General features: G+C 40.7%; 1 long non-coding RNA gene across 1 annotated transcript in view, besides 1 other annotated feature; it reads left to right on the top strand.

The window, feature by feature from the left end:
* LOC124903900 (uncharacterized) overlaps positions 1 to 16,413 on the top strand; it is a 45,067-nt gene that overhangs the window by 2,535 nt on the left and 26,119 nt on the right. The gene's annotated exons all lie outside the window — the stretch shown is intronic.
* Positions 14,470 to 15,669: an enhancer, noted in NCBI's record as "P300/CBP strongly-dependent group 1 enhancer chr1:31926120-31927319 (GRCh37/hg19 assembly coordinates)". NCBI's record gives its function as "activates an origin of replication core promoter dependent on BRD2, BRD4, P300/CBP, MED14 and CDK7 cofactors, with strong dependence on P300/CBP, by STARR-seq in HCT116 cells {active_cell/tissue: HCT116}" and the evidence as "EXISTENCE:reporter gene assay evidence [ECO:0000049][PMID:35650434]".

Below are 16,413 nucleotides of genomic sequence, written 5' to 3'. Positions count from 1 at the left end.
TTTACAGTAATAGATTTAAAAGATGCTTTCTGGGCTTGTCCATTAGCAGAGACAGCTGGGACCTATTTGCCTTTGAATAAGAAGACCCTCACTCTGGTTGAAAATAGCAATACTGATAGTCTTACCCCAAGGGTTTACGGAGTCTCCAAATTTATTTAGTCAAATATTAGAACAAGTCACTTAATTAGCAAAGATAAACAGAAAATTGAGCTTGAACGGATTGAAGGCATAATATCCTTCCCTCTGCTGGAGACTAAACAAGAACTTAAAACATTTTAGGATTAGTTGGGTACTGTCATCTATGGATAGATTCTTATGCCCTAAAAACAAAACCCTATACAGAAAGCTCATGCAAGATGGGCCAAACCCTCTCATTTGGCAATTACCAGAAATCCAACAGGTGGAAAGGTTAAAACATCTATTAGTGGCCGGGCACGGTGGCTCATGCCTGTAATCCCAGCACTTTGGGAGGCCGAGGCGGGTGGATCATGAGGTCAGGAGATTGAGATCATCCTGTCTAACACGATGAAACCCCGTCTCTACCAAAAATACAAAAAATTAGCCATGCGTGGTGGCGGGCACCTGTAGTCCCAGCTACTCAGGAGGCTGAGGCAGGAGAATGGTGTGAACCCGGGAGGCAGAGCTTGCAGTGAACCAAGATCACGCCACTGCACTCCAGCCTGCGCGACAGAGCAAGACTCTGTCTCAAAAACAAAACAAAGCAAAAACATCTATTAGTAACTGCCCCATCCTAGCTTTACCCTCCTTAAGCAGCCATTCCATCTTTTTGTCAGTGTAAACAAGGGCATAGCCTTAGAAATACCCAAAAGCACAGAGGCCACTGACAACCTGTACCCTTCCTATGAAAAATCCTTAACCCAGTAAACTGTGGATGGCCCAAATGCATTCAGTCTGTAGCAGCAACTGCTTTGCTAAGAGAATAAAGTAGAAAACTAACTTTTAGAGGAAACCTCATTGTGAGCACACCTCACCAGGTCAGAACTATGCTAAGTCAAAAAGCAAAAATGTAGCTTACTGACTCAAGAATCTTAAAGTATGAGGCTATTCTGTAAGAAAAAGATGATTTAACATTCACCACTGATAATTTGCTTAACCCAGCAGGTTTCCTAACAGGGGATCTAAATCTTAATTAATTACCATACAAAGGTCTGACCAGACCTAGGAGAAACTCCCTTCAGGACAGGACGACACTTATTTATAGATGGTTCCTCCTGGGTAATTGAGGGAAAAAGACACAATGGGTATTCGGTAATTAACAGAGAAACTCTCATAGAAATAGAGCTAGGAAAATTGCCTAATAATTGGTCTGCTCCAATGTGTGAGCTGTTTGCACTCAGCCAAGCCTTAAAGTACTTACAGAACCAGGAAGGACCATCTATACTGATTCTAAGTATGCCTTTGGAGTGACTCATACATTTGGAAACAGCTGGACTGAACGAGGTCTTATTAATAGCAAAGGTGAAGACCTGGTCCACAAGGAATTAATCACCCAAGTATTAAATAACCTTAAGTTGTCAAAAGAAATAGCTGTTGTCCATGTCCCTGGACACCAGAAAAGCCTTTCTTTAATTAAAATCCCAAATTTACAAGATTTTCCACAAAAGTAAAGTTTGCTGTTAGAAGTAAATGCTTATTTCTCAGTGCCGCAAGGAAAACCAGCATTCAGACAAAAAAAAATTCTCAGCAAGGCAATTTTACTTTCTCCAGAAAGGATGCTACTCATCAGCAATCTCGCCATGAAAGCACACTGAATAAAGAAAGGCAGGAATATTTATCCCTTATTGGGTCCTTACTGCTGTGTCCTATCTCCATTGGTTGGAGCTGGACCTCACAGTCTAAGCTAAACCTGATTGGCTAAAAACTTAAAACTTTCCTAAATTGGTAAAGGCAATGGAGAACAAAAAAAAAAAAAAAGAGAGAGAGAGAGAGGAAGTTGCTTGCAAAGGACTTAGAGAAGTAATAACATTTCCAAATAAGAAAGGGGCATAGTCTGTGAGCTGGGACATGCCTGAGCATGTCCAGAATAAATATCTTGGTTAAAGTACAAGGACATAGAATGTACTTATTCCCTTATATCTAACATCCACATAGGATAGGGCTTAACAAAGAGTTATCAGCAAAAAGCAAGAAGGCTTTGAAGGAAGTCAGTCTTTAAAAGAAACTATTATTTCTAACATTTATTATTTATTATTTAACAAGAAGGGAAACTTTGAAGAGGAACTTTTTACTTTCCACAATTTCCCCCTCTTGATTTTATAGTTTTTCCTCTTCAAACTTTCTTAATATGTCTTGGCTTAGTTGTTCTGCCTGAGTCTCTTAAAAAAAAAAAAAAAAGCTTCTCTGAATAAGGTGGAGTAGAGTTAAGGGAGGTTTTAGTAAGAGCCATTTTCATTAACCTTTGCACCAACTCTCGGATGCATGGTATAACACAACACCCAAAAAGAAGGAGTATACTTATTACAGTTGCTAAAGAGGTAAGAATTGAGGCTACAGTCTCTTTTCATTGGCCAAACCACCCTTCTAGCCATTTTAAAACAGGGTTATTAATTCCAGAATTTTTAGCTAGTTCTTCAGGTAAAGCAGTAAGGCCTTGTAGGGCCATCATTATGCTGCCATTGGGAGCAGTGTTGTTTGGGATGAAGGTACAACATTGGATTTTAATCATAACACAAATACCACCTTTTTCAACTAATATCATATCCAAAGCCATTCTGTTTTCCCAGGCCATTTGGCTAGTGGACCCTAACTGTTCCACTCTTCCATTGACAGCATCTTTAGTGTAATTAATAAACCGTTGTTGATTGTAAAAAATATAGTTTTTCCAATCTTTGTTTTTATTAACTGTTATCCATGGGAGGATAGATTCAAACCCTGCAGCTATTTGGAATCCCTAGCTTTATATTCATCTGGTACACCCTGTGGAATGCTAATTGCATCTAAATAGACGTGGGGGTTGAAAGACCAGTAAGGGGCTTCTCTTGTTTTACGATGTCATGTTTTTTCTTTTTCTGGTTGATGAAATGTCAGGGTAAAAGGGACAGCCAATTGAACTAGAGCACAAGTACCACTCCAATTATTTGGCAGAGTGTCCAGTAAAGGTCCTCCACAATACCACCAGACATCTGCTCCGGGATGAATAAGGACGGACTGATGGGTCAGCTCTTGGCAGTGCCTGACCTCACTGCATCCTGTTAAGTCTCCAAGGAACACCAAATTTTCCCCTTGTCGTTGGAGACATGAGGTAAAGTTGCTCTTGGAAGATGGAGGCTGGATGGCCTGCGGGGGCTGACCCGCAGGATGCTGCACTTCAGGAAATAGCAGAGAGACAGTTTGGCACAGTTCATTATCCCAGGCTGTAGGATTTTGAAAAACAGCTACCATGCAGTCCATGTCTTGTCGATTAGAGGGCCATCTGAGTGGAAAGGGGACAATCTGGGCCTCTGGCCTACCATGTGTAGGAGCGTAACAATCGCTTTTATTTAAAGTGCAGATGGAATATTTAATCCATTCTAGCCAGGCATTTACATCCTGATACCCTGTCTCAATTGCTATGGTTTGCCTTAGGTTTTCTACTTTTACTACGGAGATTTTGGTTTTGTCATTGTGTCTGGGAGGAGTGATTGATAGAGGTTGAAGAAGCAATAAAGCATATTTCAAAAATTCCCTTACTATCTTTCCTGAAATGTCAGCTCCCATACCATAAATATGACTTAATGAAGGGGAAGAGTTTTCAGATGTTGCAATAGTAATAGTAAGCTGTATAGGATTACACTGGTTATATTGACAGCTAGAAGGAGTAATTCTTTTGGTGAAATGAATATATGGTTTTAAGGACTGACAAAGACCCGTGGAAGCAGTCTATCTTAGACCTTTAGTGTTCCATAGGACATTAGACCAAGCAGAACATAGAGATTCTGTTTTAGAGGGACAAGAGTCTGATTCCCACCAATTAATACAACTAGTATTCTCTGGATTACTAGTATCCTTGCAGGAACTCAATATGTCTTCCCAATCTGAGGAAGTCCAAGAGGGACAGAGATATTTTTCCGAAGTAGTAAACTGTCTTTGGTTATGCAAATCTCCACAGGGTATAACTAAACAGGCATCAGAAGTAATAACTTGAGGTGAGTTAGATCTAGTTACGTTAATAATAAGATGGGGAGTAGTTAAAGGGAAGAAAAGAAAAATAAAAGATAGATAGATTAAGCTTTTCTTAACTTTAATTTGGTAGGGCTTGATCCTGGAACAATGACCCACGATTCCGAAGGTGATGACGTTTTCTTGACTTGGGTGTGATGTGTTCATCCTTTTTCTGCTGTGCCAATGGCAGTCTCGGTGGTTAGCAGCACGAGGTAGGGTCCTTCCCAGGCTGGCTCGAGTTTTGCTTCTTTCCGTCCTTTGATGGTCCCCAGGCTGGTGCTGGTGTACTGGAAATTCTAGGGGTGGTGCCTGTGCTAGAAGACCTCTGGTTTTAAGTGAAAAAAAGGTAGAGGAGAGACCAAGTATATAATTTCTGAGAAACTGATCCTTTGATTCAAATGTGGGGGCATGAGCAGTGGAATATAAGTAAGGCAACCCATATAACATTTCATAAGGGGACAGGCCAACATCTTTCCAAGGGGAGGTTCTAATCCTTAATAAAACAATAGGAAGGCATTTAGCCTATGGCAACCGGGTCTCTAGGACTAATTTAGTTAGGTGGCTTTTAAGGGTTTGGTTCATCCTTTCTACTCTCCCTGAGGAGGATGGGTGCCAAGGAATGTGATATTCCCACTTTATGTCTAGTACTTGAGCCAACTTTTTAATGATATGTGCAGTAAAATGGGTTCCATTGTCTGAATCAATGTTTTCTATTAGTCCGAACCTGGGTGTAATATGTTCAATTATTGCTTTAACTACATTACTAGCGGTTGCACTTGAAAAAGGGATAGCCTCTACCCAATGGGTGAAATGATCTACTATTACCAATAAATACTTTAGCTGACCAGGTGGGGGCATTTCAGCGTAATCAACTTGGACACTTTGAAATGGTCTTAGTCCTGGATTTCTTCCTCCAAGTGGTAATTTTCTTAGGGCTTGTTTATTTGTTTTCTTACAAATTAGACAACTGTCTTTAACTTGTTTTGCTAAAGTATAAATCTCAATATACCCATAAACCCTGAGAACTGCATCACACATAACTTGGGGCTCCAGTGAGTTCTTTGATGTAGTTAAGATAAAACCTCCCTCAAAAGAGGCTTAGATAATATTTCTTTCTGGTCTGGGAGTATCTATTTCCCTTCTGAATTCCTTTGAGCTCCTATTTTTACTAATTTTTCCTTCTCAGTATGACAGAAAATAGGAACTACAGTGGGAGAAGGAAGACAAGGAGTTAAGTGAAAGATGGTGTCTCAGAGGAAACAGCAGCTTGCTTGGCTCTTTGATCCACAAGAGTATTTCCTCAACTTTCAAAATAAAAGTTGTGTTGGTGTCCTGGAACATGGACAATGTCTATTTCCTCTGGTAACTGAAGATTATTCAGGACACAATTAATGTTTCATAAGCAAGATCTTGACCTTTACTATTAATAAGGCCCCGTTCGGCCCAAATTTTTCCAAATGTGTGAGACACCCCAAAAGCATACTTAGAGTCAGTATAGATGGTTCCTACCTGGTTCTATAAGTATTTTAGGGCCTGGCTAAGTGCAAATAGCTCACAGGCTTGGGGAGACCAACTATTGGGTTATCTTCCTGATTCAACTTCTTTGAGAGTTTCCCCATCGATTACTGCATACCCATTATGTCGTTTTCCCTCAATTACCTGGGAGGAACCATCTGTAAATAAAGCTGCCCTGTCTTAAAGGGGGTTTCTACTAAATCTGGGCTGACTTTCGTATGGTAGTCAATTAAATCTAGACATAGGTGTTCCCTTTTTAGCAGTGGGTTCCCTGTCAAGAAACCCACTGGGTTAAGTGAATTGTCTGTAGTTAAGGTTAAATCATCTTTTTCTAATAGGATAGCTTCATATTTTAAAATTCTGGAGTCAGTGAGCCATCTTCCTGCCTTTTGGCTTAGGATAGCTTGACTTGTTGAGGTGTACTCACTGTCAGATATCCTCCAAAAGTTAATTTCCTGCTTTCTTCAACCAATATCACCGTGGCCACAATGGATTGAATACGCTGAGGCCATCTGCAGGCGACTGGATCTAGAACTTTTGACAGGAAGGCCACTGGCTGTCGGCAGCCCCCATGTTCTTGGGTAAGCACTCCTAGAGCCACTCCATTATCTACGTTAACAAAAAGATGAAATGGTTTTTCTAGAGAGGGTAGGGCCAGGACAGGAGCAGTTATGAGTCTTTCCTTTTACTCCCCAACCTGATCAACCTCTTCAGAAGTCCATATGAAGAGATCAGGTTCTCCTTTAGTTAGCTTCTCATATGGAAGTTTACTTTTTAATGCATATGAGTCAATCCATAAATGGCAGTATCCAACTAACCCTAAAAATTTCCTGAGTTCTTGCTTGGTTTGAGGCAAGGGCAAAGACACAATTCCTTTGACCCATTTGGGTCCTATTCTTCCTTTGTCTGCATTTATTAAATGGCCTAAGTATTTAACTTCAGGTTCTACATATTGAAGCTTTCTCTTTGAGACCCATACCCTTCAAACTGTAAGTGGTTAAGAACGTGTGTAGAAAACCCAGCTACCTTCTCTATGTCTTCTCCAGATATAAGAATATCATCCACATATTGGAGCAAACGTAGCTGCTTTGGGACAACAACTTTTTCTAATACTTGCTCTAAGATTTGACCAAAAAGATTGAGTGAATCTGTAAATCCTTGGGGTAAAACTGTCCATCTATACTGTTGTTTCCATCTTGAATGGGGACCTTCCCATTCAAAAGTAAATATATCCTGGCTGTCTTCAGCCAAGGGACCTGCCCAGAATGCATCCTTTAAGTCTATTACTGTGAACCACTGATGACTGTGTGAAATTTTACTAAGAATGGTGTAAGGGTTGGGTACAACAGAATGAGTGGTCTGGACTATTTGATTGATAGCTGTAAGGTCCTGCACTAGTTGGTATGACCCATCTGATTTTTTGACTGGTAAAATTGGAGTGTTGTATGAGGACATACAAGGTTCAAGTAGTCCATCTTTAATAAGACTCTCAATTACAGGCTTTAACCCTACCCTTCTTCTAAAGGGATAGGGTATTGCTTTCTTCTCACTACCTCCCCTGGAGTCCTTAACCTGATATGTATTGGAGGAATTCGTAGCTTTCCTCAGTTTCCTTCCCTTGGCCAGACATCGAGATGAATGGACTTCTCATCTGCTGTGGTAAGCAAATTTAAGGAAGTTAGAACACCCTTTGGGCCAACTTGCAGACCTATACCTAGTTTTAACATTGAATCTCTCCCTAACAGATTGGTTCCTGCTTCAGGAATTAACAAAAGTTGAATACAAGTTGACTGATCTTGGTATTTTGCTTCTGTATTTTCTAAAACTTTCTCCTTAAATTCTTCTCCTTTTACCCCAGAAACTAGCAATTCCTCTGTAGAACAAGTTAAATCAGCTGGGGGAAAACAAACAGACAAGCAAGCAGCTCCTGAGTCAATTAAAAAGGTGATTAATTCATGTTTGGGTCTCACCTCTAAATGTATCAAGGGTTCCTGGTGGGACTCAAAATAGAAAAGACAGAGCCCCTGACCCCCCTATTCCTCTTCAAAGGTAGTCATGAGTGGAAGAGCTTCTTCTACTTTTTCTAATTCCGGACATTACCTATTAAAATGGTCTGGTCTTCCACATTTGTAACATCTGTCTTGTCCTTCCTCTCTCCCAAGCCCAGGGCCCCTTTGTCTTTCCTCCTTACCTTCACATCCACAGCCCTTACAGCACTTACTTTGACCTTCTCCCTTAACGTACTGATCTTGCCTTCTTTCTCTTTGCATTCCTGAGTTCCCTGACTTTCTTCTTTCACCTTCTCTAGAAAACTTTGCAGGTGTGGGTCTAAACTTAGCCCCTGGTATCATTTGTCCTGGTGAACTCTGTCAAAAGATTTTTGCTTTCTGTCTCTGCCTTTCTTCATCTCTACTTACATATACTTTTTGGGCTTCTCTCAAAAGCTCTTCTATTGACCGATTCTTCCAATTTTCCAGTTTTTGCAATTTTCTTGCAATATCTGGCCAACTGTTAATAATAAAGTGCAACTTTAACAATCCTAGCCCAAAGGGGCTTTCTGGGTCTAAACCAGCATATTTTCTCATCTGTTCCCTCACTCTGTCTAGAAACTTCATAGGCCCTTCATCTTTTTCTTGCTGTATATCAAAATCCTTAGAGAGATTTTGAGGTCGGGACACTGATTCCCAAATTCCTCTAACTATCATTTCCCTTAAATCTCTCATGTTATCCCTGTGGGCTGCAATATTGTTATCCCACTCCAGGTCTTGGCTGGAAATTTTGGTCTGCTGCCAGAACATTTTGGCCCAGAGGATGGTCACACTCCCAGACCACCACAGCAGCTCTGCGGATCATGTTCTGCTCTTCCCCTGAAAAGAGGATACCTAGGATGGACATTAATTCAGCCCAGGTATATAACTGCGGGCCTAAAAACTGATCAATTTGATCTGCCACTCCATAAGGATCATCTAATAATGGCTTGAGTTCTTTTTTTTTAAGACTTCGGACTTCGGAACCAGTTAAGGGAGCATTTACAAGGCAAATTGCCCCCCCTTGTGGTACCTCCCTTAAAAGAAAGAACTTTGAAGATGAATCCTTAGAAGTGGGGAGGGGGAAAGGAAGACTCTGAATATCCTTTCTACATTGTTGTATTTCCCGTTGAAGTCCTTTCTTTAAAGAAGGATATTCAGACTGACAAAACTTGGGTCCCTGGGACAATAACTTCCAGGAGTCCGGGTTGTATGGGGGAGGAATAACCTGAGTATGAGGATCCAGAGGAGAGTCTGGAACTGGGTCTGGGATGGGGTTTGGGGCGGCGGCAATTGCTTGAGGAGGGAGTGGTGGGTTTTTGAGAAGTGGGGGATGGTGGTCTAGAGGGTCCCACTTACTCGTGGATGTCTTAGAAGTAGAAACTTTGTTCTCAGATGAGACAGCCTCTGAGTCCTTTTTACCTTCTAGTTCCTTCCCATCTATTCTTAGCGGGTAGAGAAGAACGGCCCCTGCCGCCAGCACAGAGCATAGTCTATTTCTTCTTGTGAGAGAGGACTCTTGTCATTAACATACATTATTAGGAGTTGACAAACCCAGTCCCCATCCAACCCAAACTTTGGCCAGAAAACTGTGGGCTTGAGGATTGGCTCTTTAGTCCAAATAAAGCAGCAATACTTTATCATTTGCTGCTTTCCCTTGAGTTTAGTCCTCTCATTGTCTTTCCAATACTTTAACATAAGCCCTAAAGGACTATCGGTGGGGGGGATTTGACCATCTGCATTCTTTCCCTTCCCTGTTTTACTAGAAATATTCCCTATACTGAGTACCAGTTAGACTCAACCTCTCGACCCAGAGTTTTCTTGCTTATCCCGTTTTCCAGAGGCTTGCTTAAAACAACCTCACGTATGGCCGGGCGCAGTGGCTCACACCTGTAATCCCAGCACTTTGGGAGACCAAGTCGGGTGGACCACGAGGTCCGGAGATCGAGACCATCCTGGCTAACATGGTGAAACCCCATCTCTACTAAAAATACAAAAAATTAGCCAGGAATGGTGGCGGGCACCTGTAATCCCAGCTACTTGGGAGGCTGAGGCAGGAGAATGGCATGAACCCGGGAGGCAGAGCTTGCAGTGAGTGGAGATCGCACCACTGCACTCTAGCCTGGGTGACAGAACAAGACTCCATCTCAAAAAACAACAACAACAGCAACAAAATAACAAACAAACAAACAAACAAACAACCTCACGTGCTTGAGGTTTTTCACCCTTCTTTTCCCAGGGAGGATTCTAACTATTCCCCCTCACCTTCTGGAGGTCTCTTTCACTCCTTTCCTTTTGTTTTGCCCTCTCTTACCTCTAAGCCATATGAAATGATTACAGAATTTGCAGAGAGGACCCACTCACACCATACTCACGCATGCACACTCACACTCAACCTCCAGAATTTTGACCATCAAGGAAATACTTTGTCACCCCCTTGTGATGTTTCTTACCTTGGTATGTGCACAGAATTACCTGGTCACAGCAGTGTTGCAAGCCCTTCTTTCCCCGTGTTGCTAAGAGCCCGGGTTTATTCATTGCAAAGGATGGGTTTTGATCTCCAGCCCTTAAGGCCACCACAACAAGGCAGTGGGGTATGCCTCCCTGAGGGGGTGACCAAAGACCCCTTCTGAAAGGAGAATGGGAATCCCAGAGGAGCCTCCAGAACTGTTAGAAGTAAATGCTTATTCCTCAGTGCCACAAGGAAAAACTAGCATTCAGACAAAAAGTTTTCTCAGCAAGGCAATTTTACTTTCTGCAGAAAGGGTGCTACTTATCAGCAATCTTGCCATGAGAGCACACTGAACAAACAAATCAGGAATATTTATCCCTTACACATTGGATCCTTACTGCTGTGTCCTATCTCCATTGCTTGGAGTCTAAGTCTAAGCTAAATCCGATTGGCTAACAGTCACAGTCTAAGCTAAACCCGATTGGCTAACAACTTAAAACTTTCCTAAATAGGTAAAGGCAATGAAGAACAAAAGGAAAAGAGGAAGTTGCTTGCAAAAGGACTTAGAGAAGTAATAACATTTCCAAATAAGAAAGGGGCATAGGCTGTGAACTGGGACATGCCAATATCTTGGTTAAAGTACAAGGACATAGGATGTACTTATTTCCTTATATCTAACATCTACATAGGATAGGGCTTAATAAAGGGTTATTAGCAAAAAGCAAGAAGGCTTTGAAGGAAGTTAGTCTTTAAAAGAAACTATTATTTCTAACATTTATTATTTATTCTTTAACAAGAAGGGAAACTTTGAAGGAAGAGGAACTTTTTACTTTCCACATTTGCTAAAAGTTAGCAGTATAACATGTATTATCCTAACTTCTAATCTTGTGGCCTTAGGCAGCCTAGTCCACCGACATGAAGGAAGTTTGCTTTGGAGAAAACTAGTTATCATCTCTGACATTTAAAAAAGGAGAATTTATATAAAAAGAATCTTATATGGTAAATTCTTGTCCTAAAATAAATTAACTGGTTGTTTAAAGAAAGGGATGTTTGCAACAAGTCAGAAAGTTGAGGCATGTTGAAGATTATCTGTGAAAGTTGTGAAAAATGTTATAAAGGGGAATTTATGCAAGAAATGTTGTATAATTTAAAAGTAATTAGGCCTCCTGAATGTAAAACTATTGAAGAAACAGTTTATATGCAAGGTGTGTAAGGAAAGTAAAATATACTTTTGGTAAAAGGAGTATAAGAAAGTATAATAATGTGGATTTTTACCTACATTAAAAGGTTAAAAAAATGTGTTTTGAAGGTTTAAGCAAGCTTTGAAACGTTAATTGTAAAGGAAATTCTGTGTGTAAACATATTGGCTAAAGTTAAGGGGGTATCATCCAGTTTTTCTGCGAACTGGACATTAAAAAAAAGCACAACAGGTTTTTCTTAAAGCACTAAACTGCTCTTTAACAAAAATCATAAAGGGTTAAAAAGAGTAAAAATTTTACCTTATGGTCAGACATTAATATTGGATAAATAATGTCTACAAGATTTTATTAAAATTGAGCTTAACATTAATAGCACACTAATATAAAGGTAAAATTTAGCTTATCTGGTATAAAATCATACAGGAAGCATTGTCAAATATAAAGTGGTGTTTGGCTTTCTTTGGTTTAAAAACGAACAAAAATGGTGCTAAAGAAAATTCAGAAGGAAAATGGATATTGCTAGACCAGAGAGAAATGTTATCCAAACCCCTTATGAGGGAAATCTTGTCCCAACTACATCAAGAGACCCACTGGGGGCCCCAAGCCATGTGTAACACAGTCCTCAGAGTTTATAAGTGCATAGAAATGTGTACCCCGGCCAAACAGGTTACAGACAATTGCTTAGTAAAAGATTACCACTTGGGGGAAGGAGTCCAGGCTTAAGCCCATTCCAAAGTATCCAAATCGATTACACAGAGAAGCCTCCAACTGGTCGTCTAAAGTATTTATTAGTAATAGTAGATCACCTTACTCATTGGGTAGAAGCTATTCCCTTTTCAAGTACAAATGCTAATAATATAATCAAGGCATTAGTTAAAAATATTATACCCAGGTTTAGATTAATAGAAAACAGTGATTCAGATAATAGGACTCATTTCACAGCACATGTCACTAAGAAATTAGCACAGATACTGGATATAACATGGGGATATCATACTCTCTGGCATCCACCTTCATCAGGGAAAGTAGGAAGGCATATTACCCTGTGAAGAGTCCGAACTGCTCCCCCAAAAGACAGGCCTGTCCCCTTATGAGATGCTCTATGGATTGCCTTATCTACATTCTACTACTGATCTCTCTACATTTAAAACAAAAGAACAATTTCTCAGAAATTATATACTTGGTTTATCGTCTACTTTCCCTTCCCTCAGAACTAAAGGTCTTTTAGCACAGGTGCCACCCCTAGAGTTTCCAGCACACCAACATCAGCCTGGGGACCACGTCCCTGTCAAAAGTTAGAGAAAAGGAAAAATTAGAACCAGCCTGGGAAGGATCTTACCTAGCGCTCCTAACTACTGAAACTGCAGTCCGGACAGCAGAAAAAGGGTGGACCCCTCACACTCGAGTCAAGAAAGCGCCGCCCCCTCCACGGTCATGGACCATAGTCCCAGAGGAAAACCCTACCAAACTAAAGCTAAGAAAAATTTAACTCTCTTTCATCTATTCTATTACTTCTTTCCTCATTCTATTGCTGACCACCTAGTTATTAATGTAACCAAGCCAATTTTGCCTCAAAATATTACATTTGATGCTTGCTTTGTTATACGCTGTGGAGACTTGCCAAGTCAGAAGCAACTCTCTGCTTCAGAAAAGTATATTTATCCTCCCTAGCTCTCCTTAGACTGGAAATCTGTTAACTGGGATAGGTTAGTTTGAGAAGAGTTTGACGAAGATTCCAGTATAAACTGGGAATCTTGTCCTTCTACAGCAGAGCTTCTCTGCTGAAGTTGGTCCATATAAAATACTATATGGACCTATAAAATACTAAAGAGCGAGGATGGACTGCTCCAACTAGTACTTGCAGTTTCTTAAAACCATATGTTCATTTTACTAAAGGAGTTATCCCTCCACATTGTCAGCTGAACCAATGGAATCCAGTACAGATGACCATCGCTGCTCCCCAGAGTTCTTCCCCTCCATTAAGCCATTTCTATGGTATAGGGGCAGAAGTCTCAGGGAACAACCCCCATAGGATCCTTTGAAATGCGCTTCATTGCCGCCTCACCTCCTCCACCCCCTTCTCCCTCTCTTAAGTTCTCCGCTAACCAAACCTTCTCTTGTTATATACCCAATGATAAAACCAAAGTAGTTGTAGAGGTTAAAGATTTAAAACAAACTATAGCAATTGACACAGGGTATCAGGACACAAATGCTTGGCTTGAATGGATTAAATATTCTGTTCTCATGCTAAACAAAAGTGACTGTTAGACTTGTGTGACAGGCAGCCCAGAGACAGAGATTGTCCCCTTTCCACTTGGGTGGTCCTCTCACGGACCGGGCATGAGCTGTTATGGTAGCTCTCTTCCAAAACCCCACAGCCTGGGGTGATGAGTGATGGAAGACTCTTTCACTGCTGTTCCCTGAGGTTAAGAGCCCTGCGGGTCAGCCCCTGAGGTCCATCCAGCCTCCAGCCCCTGGTGTTTACTTCACCTCCTGCCTTTCATGGCAGAGGAAAAAGTTAGCATTCCTTGGAGACTTAACAGGGTGCAGTGAAACCAAGCCTTTTCAAGAGGTTACCCATCAGTCTGCCCTTGTTCATCCCCGAGCAGATGTGTAGTGGTATTGCAGGGGACTATTGCTGGGTACTCTGCCAAGTAATTAAAGCAGCACTCATGCTTTAGTCCAATTGGCCATCCCTTTCACCCTAGCATTCCGTCAACACGATTAAAAAAAAAAGAAAATCGTAAAAGAAGTGCTTCACATGGGTCCTTTGATTCCCATGTTTATATAAATGCTATTGGAGTTCCACCAGGAGTACCAGATAAATTTAAAGCCTGAAATCAAATAGCTGCAGGATGTAAGTCAATATTTTGGTGGGTAACAATTAATAAAAATGTAGATTGGATAAATTACATTTATTACAACCAACAGCAGTTTATTATAAACTACACTAGAGATGCTATTAAAGAAATAGCTGAGCAATTAGGGGCTACTAGCCAGATGGCTTGGGAAAATAGAATAGCCTTAGACATAATGTTAGCAGAAAAAGGAGGAGTTTGCATCATGATTAAAACTCAATGTTGTACCTTCATCCCAAACAATATTGCTCCTGATGGAAGTATAACAAAGGCATTGCAAGGTCTAATTGCTCTATCTAACGAGTTAGCCAAAAACTCAGGAGTAAATGACCGCTTCACCAGGTGGCTAGAAAAATGATTCAGTAAATGGAAAGGAATCATAGCCTCAATTCTTACTTCTCTTGCAGCCATAATAGGTATAGCCATTCTTTTCAGGTGTTGTGTCATACCATGCATCCATAGGCTGGTGCAGAGGCTCATAAAGGCAGCACTTACTAAAACCTCCTTTAATTCTCCTCCACCTTATTCAGAGAAGCTTTTTCTTTTAGAGAATCAAGCAGAACAACTAAGCCAAGACATGTTAAAGAAGTTTGAAGAGAAACAACTGTAAAATTTCAAGATGGGGGATTGTTAAAGATAGTGAACTCCAAGTTTCTTTTCAAAGAATCAGTATGTCAGTATGTTCAGCTCTCTTATTCTTTATTCTCCATTTTTAAGTCTAACTTCCTGGTTCTCTTGCCCTCCCCCCTTGCCTCTAGTTTCAGTAAACAACTTTCCTGCCAGTTCTAATCAGTAGTTCACATCTGTTCCCCTGGTCACCTGCTTTGACCCGAGTCACCCCTGGCCACCTGCTCCATCTTGAGTCACCCCTGTCACCTGCTCTGACCTGAATCATCCTGAGTCACCTGTTCTATAACTGCCCTTCCTGCCAAACTACTCACCCTGACACTCTGGCTCGTACCCCTGCTCTCTTTAAAATACCCCATCAGAATTAGCTTAGACTGTGCGGTCCAATCCTAGCCAATAGGGGAATGACACAACAGCAGGGGCTACCTGCATCAGGAATAAGAACCACTTCCCTTCCCTTGTTCAGGCATGCTTTCGCCATTACTCCATCCGCAAGTCGCACCCTTCTATAGAAGTAAAAATTGCCTTGCTGAGAAAATTAAATTTATGTTCAAGTGCATTTCTTTGCAGCATCGAGGAACAAGCATTTGTTACTAACACCCTGAACGACCAATAACAAGCAACAGGATTGAAATGGTAAGAAAAAGTTAGCTACAAAAAAAAGTCCAGGATCAGACAGATTCACAGATGAATTCTACCAGACTTTCAAAGAAAAATTGGTACCAATCCTGTTGACACTATTCCACAAGATAGAGAAAGAGGAAATCCTACCCAAATCATTCTATGAAGCCAGTATCACCCTAATACTAAAACCAGGGAAGGACATAACCAAAAAAGAAAACTACAGACGAATATCCCTGATGAACATAGATGCATAAATCCTTAACGAAATACTAGCTAACTGAATCCAACAACATATGAAAAAGATAATCCACCATGATCAAGTAGGTTTCATACCAGGGATGCAGGGATGGTTTAAAATATGCAAGTCAATAAATGTGATACACCACATAAACAGAATTTAAAACAAAAATCACATGATCATCTCAATAAATGCAGAAAAAGCATTTGACAAAATTCAATATCACTTTATGATTAAAACCCTCAGCAAAATCAGCGTACAAGACCCATACCTCAATGTAATAAAAGCCATCTATGACAAACCCACAGCCAACATAATACTGAATGGGGAAAAGTTTAAAGCGTTCCCTATGAGAACTGTAACAAGACAAAGATGCCCACTCTCACCACTTTTCTATTTAACATAGTACTGGAAGTGCTAACCAGAGCAATCAGACAAGAGAAAGAAATAAAGGGCATCCAAATTGGTAAAGAGGAAGTCAAACTGTCCCTGTTTCCTGATGATACGATCATATACCTAGAAAACCCTAAAGACTCCTCCAAAAAGCTAGATAAATGAATTCAGCAAAGTTTCAGGTTACAAAATCAATGTACACAAATCAGTAGCTCTCCTATACATCAACAGCGACTAAGCTGAGAATCGAATCAATAACTCAACCCCTTTTACAACAGCTGAAAAAAAACTCAGGAATATACCTAACCAAGGAGGTGAA

This window comes from Homo sapiens, chromosome 1 (genome assembly GCF_000001405.40).
Source record: "Homo sapiens chromosome 1, GRCh38.p14 Primary Assembly".
NCBI classification, from domain to species: Eukaryota; Metazoa; Chordata; class Mammalia; order Primates; family Hominidae; genus Homo; species Homo sapiens.
Note: the sequence above shows the minus strand (reverse complement) of the source record. Positions and strands in the feature narration are given on the sequence as shown.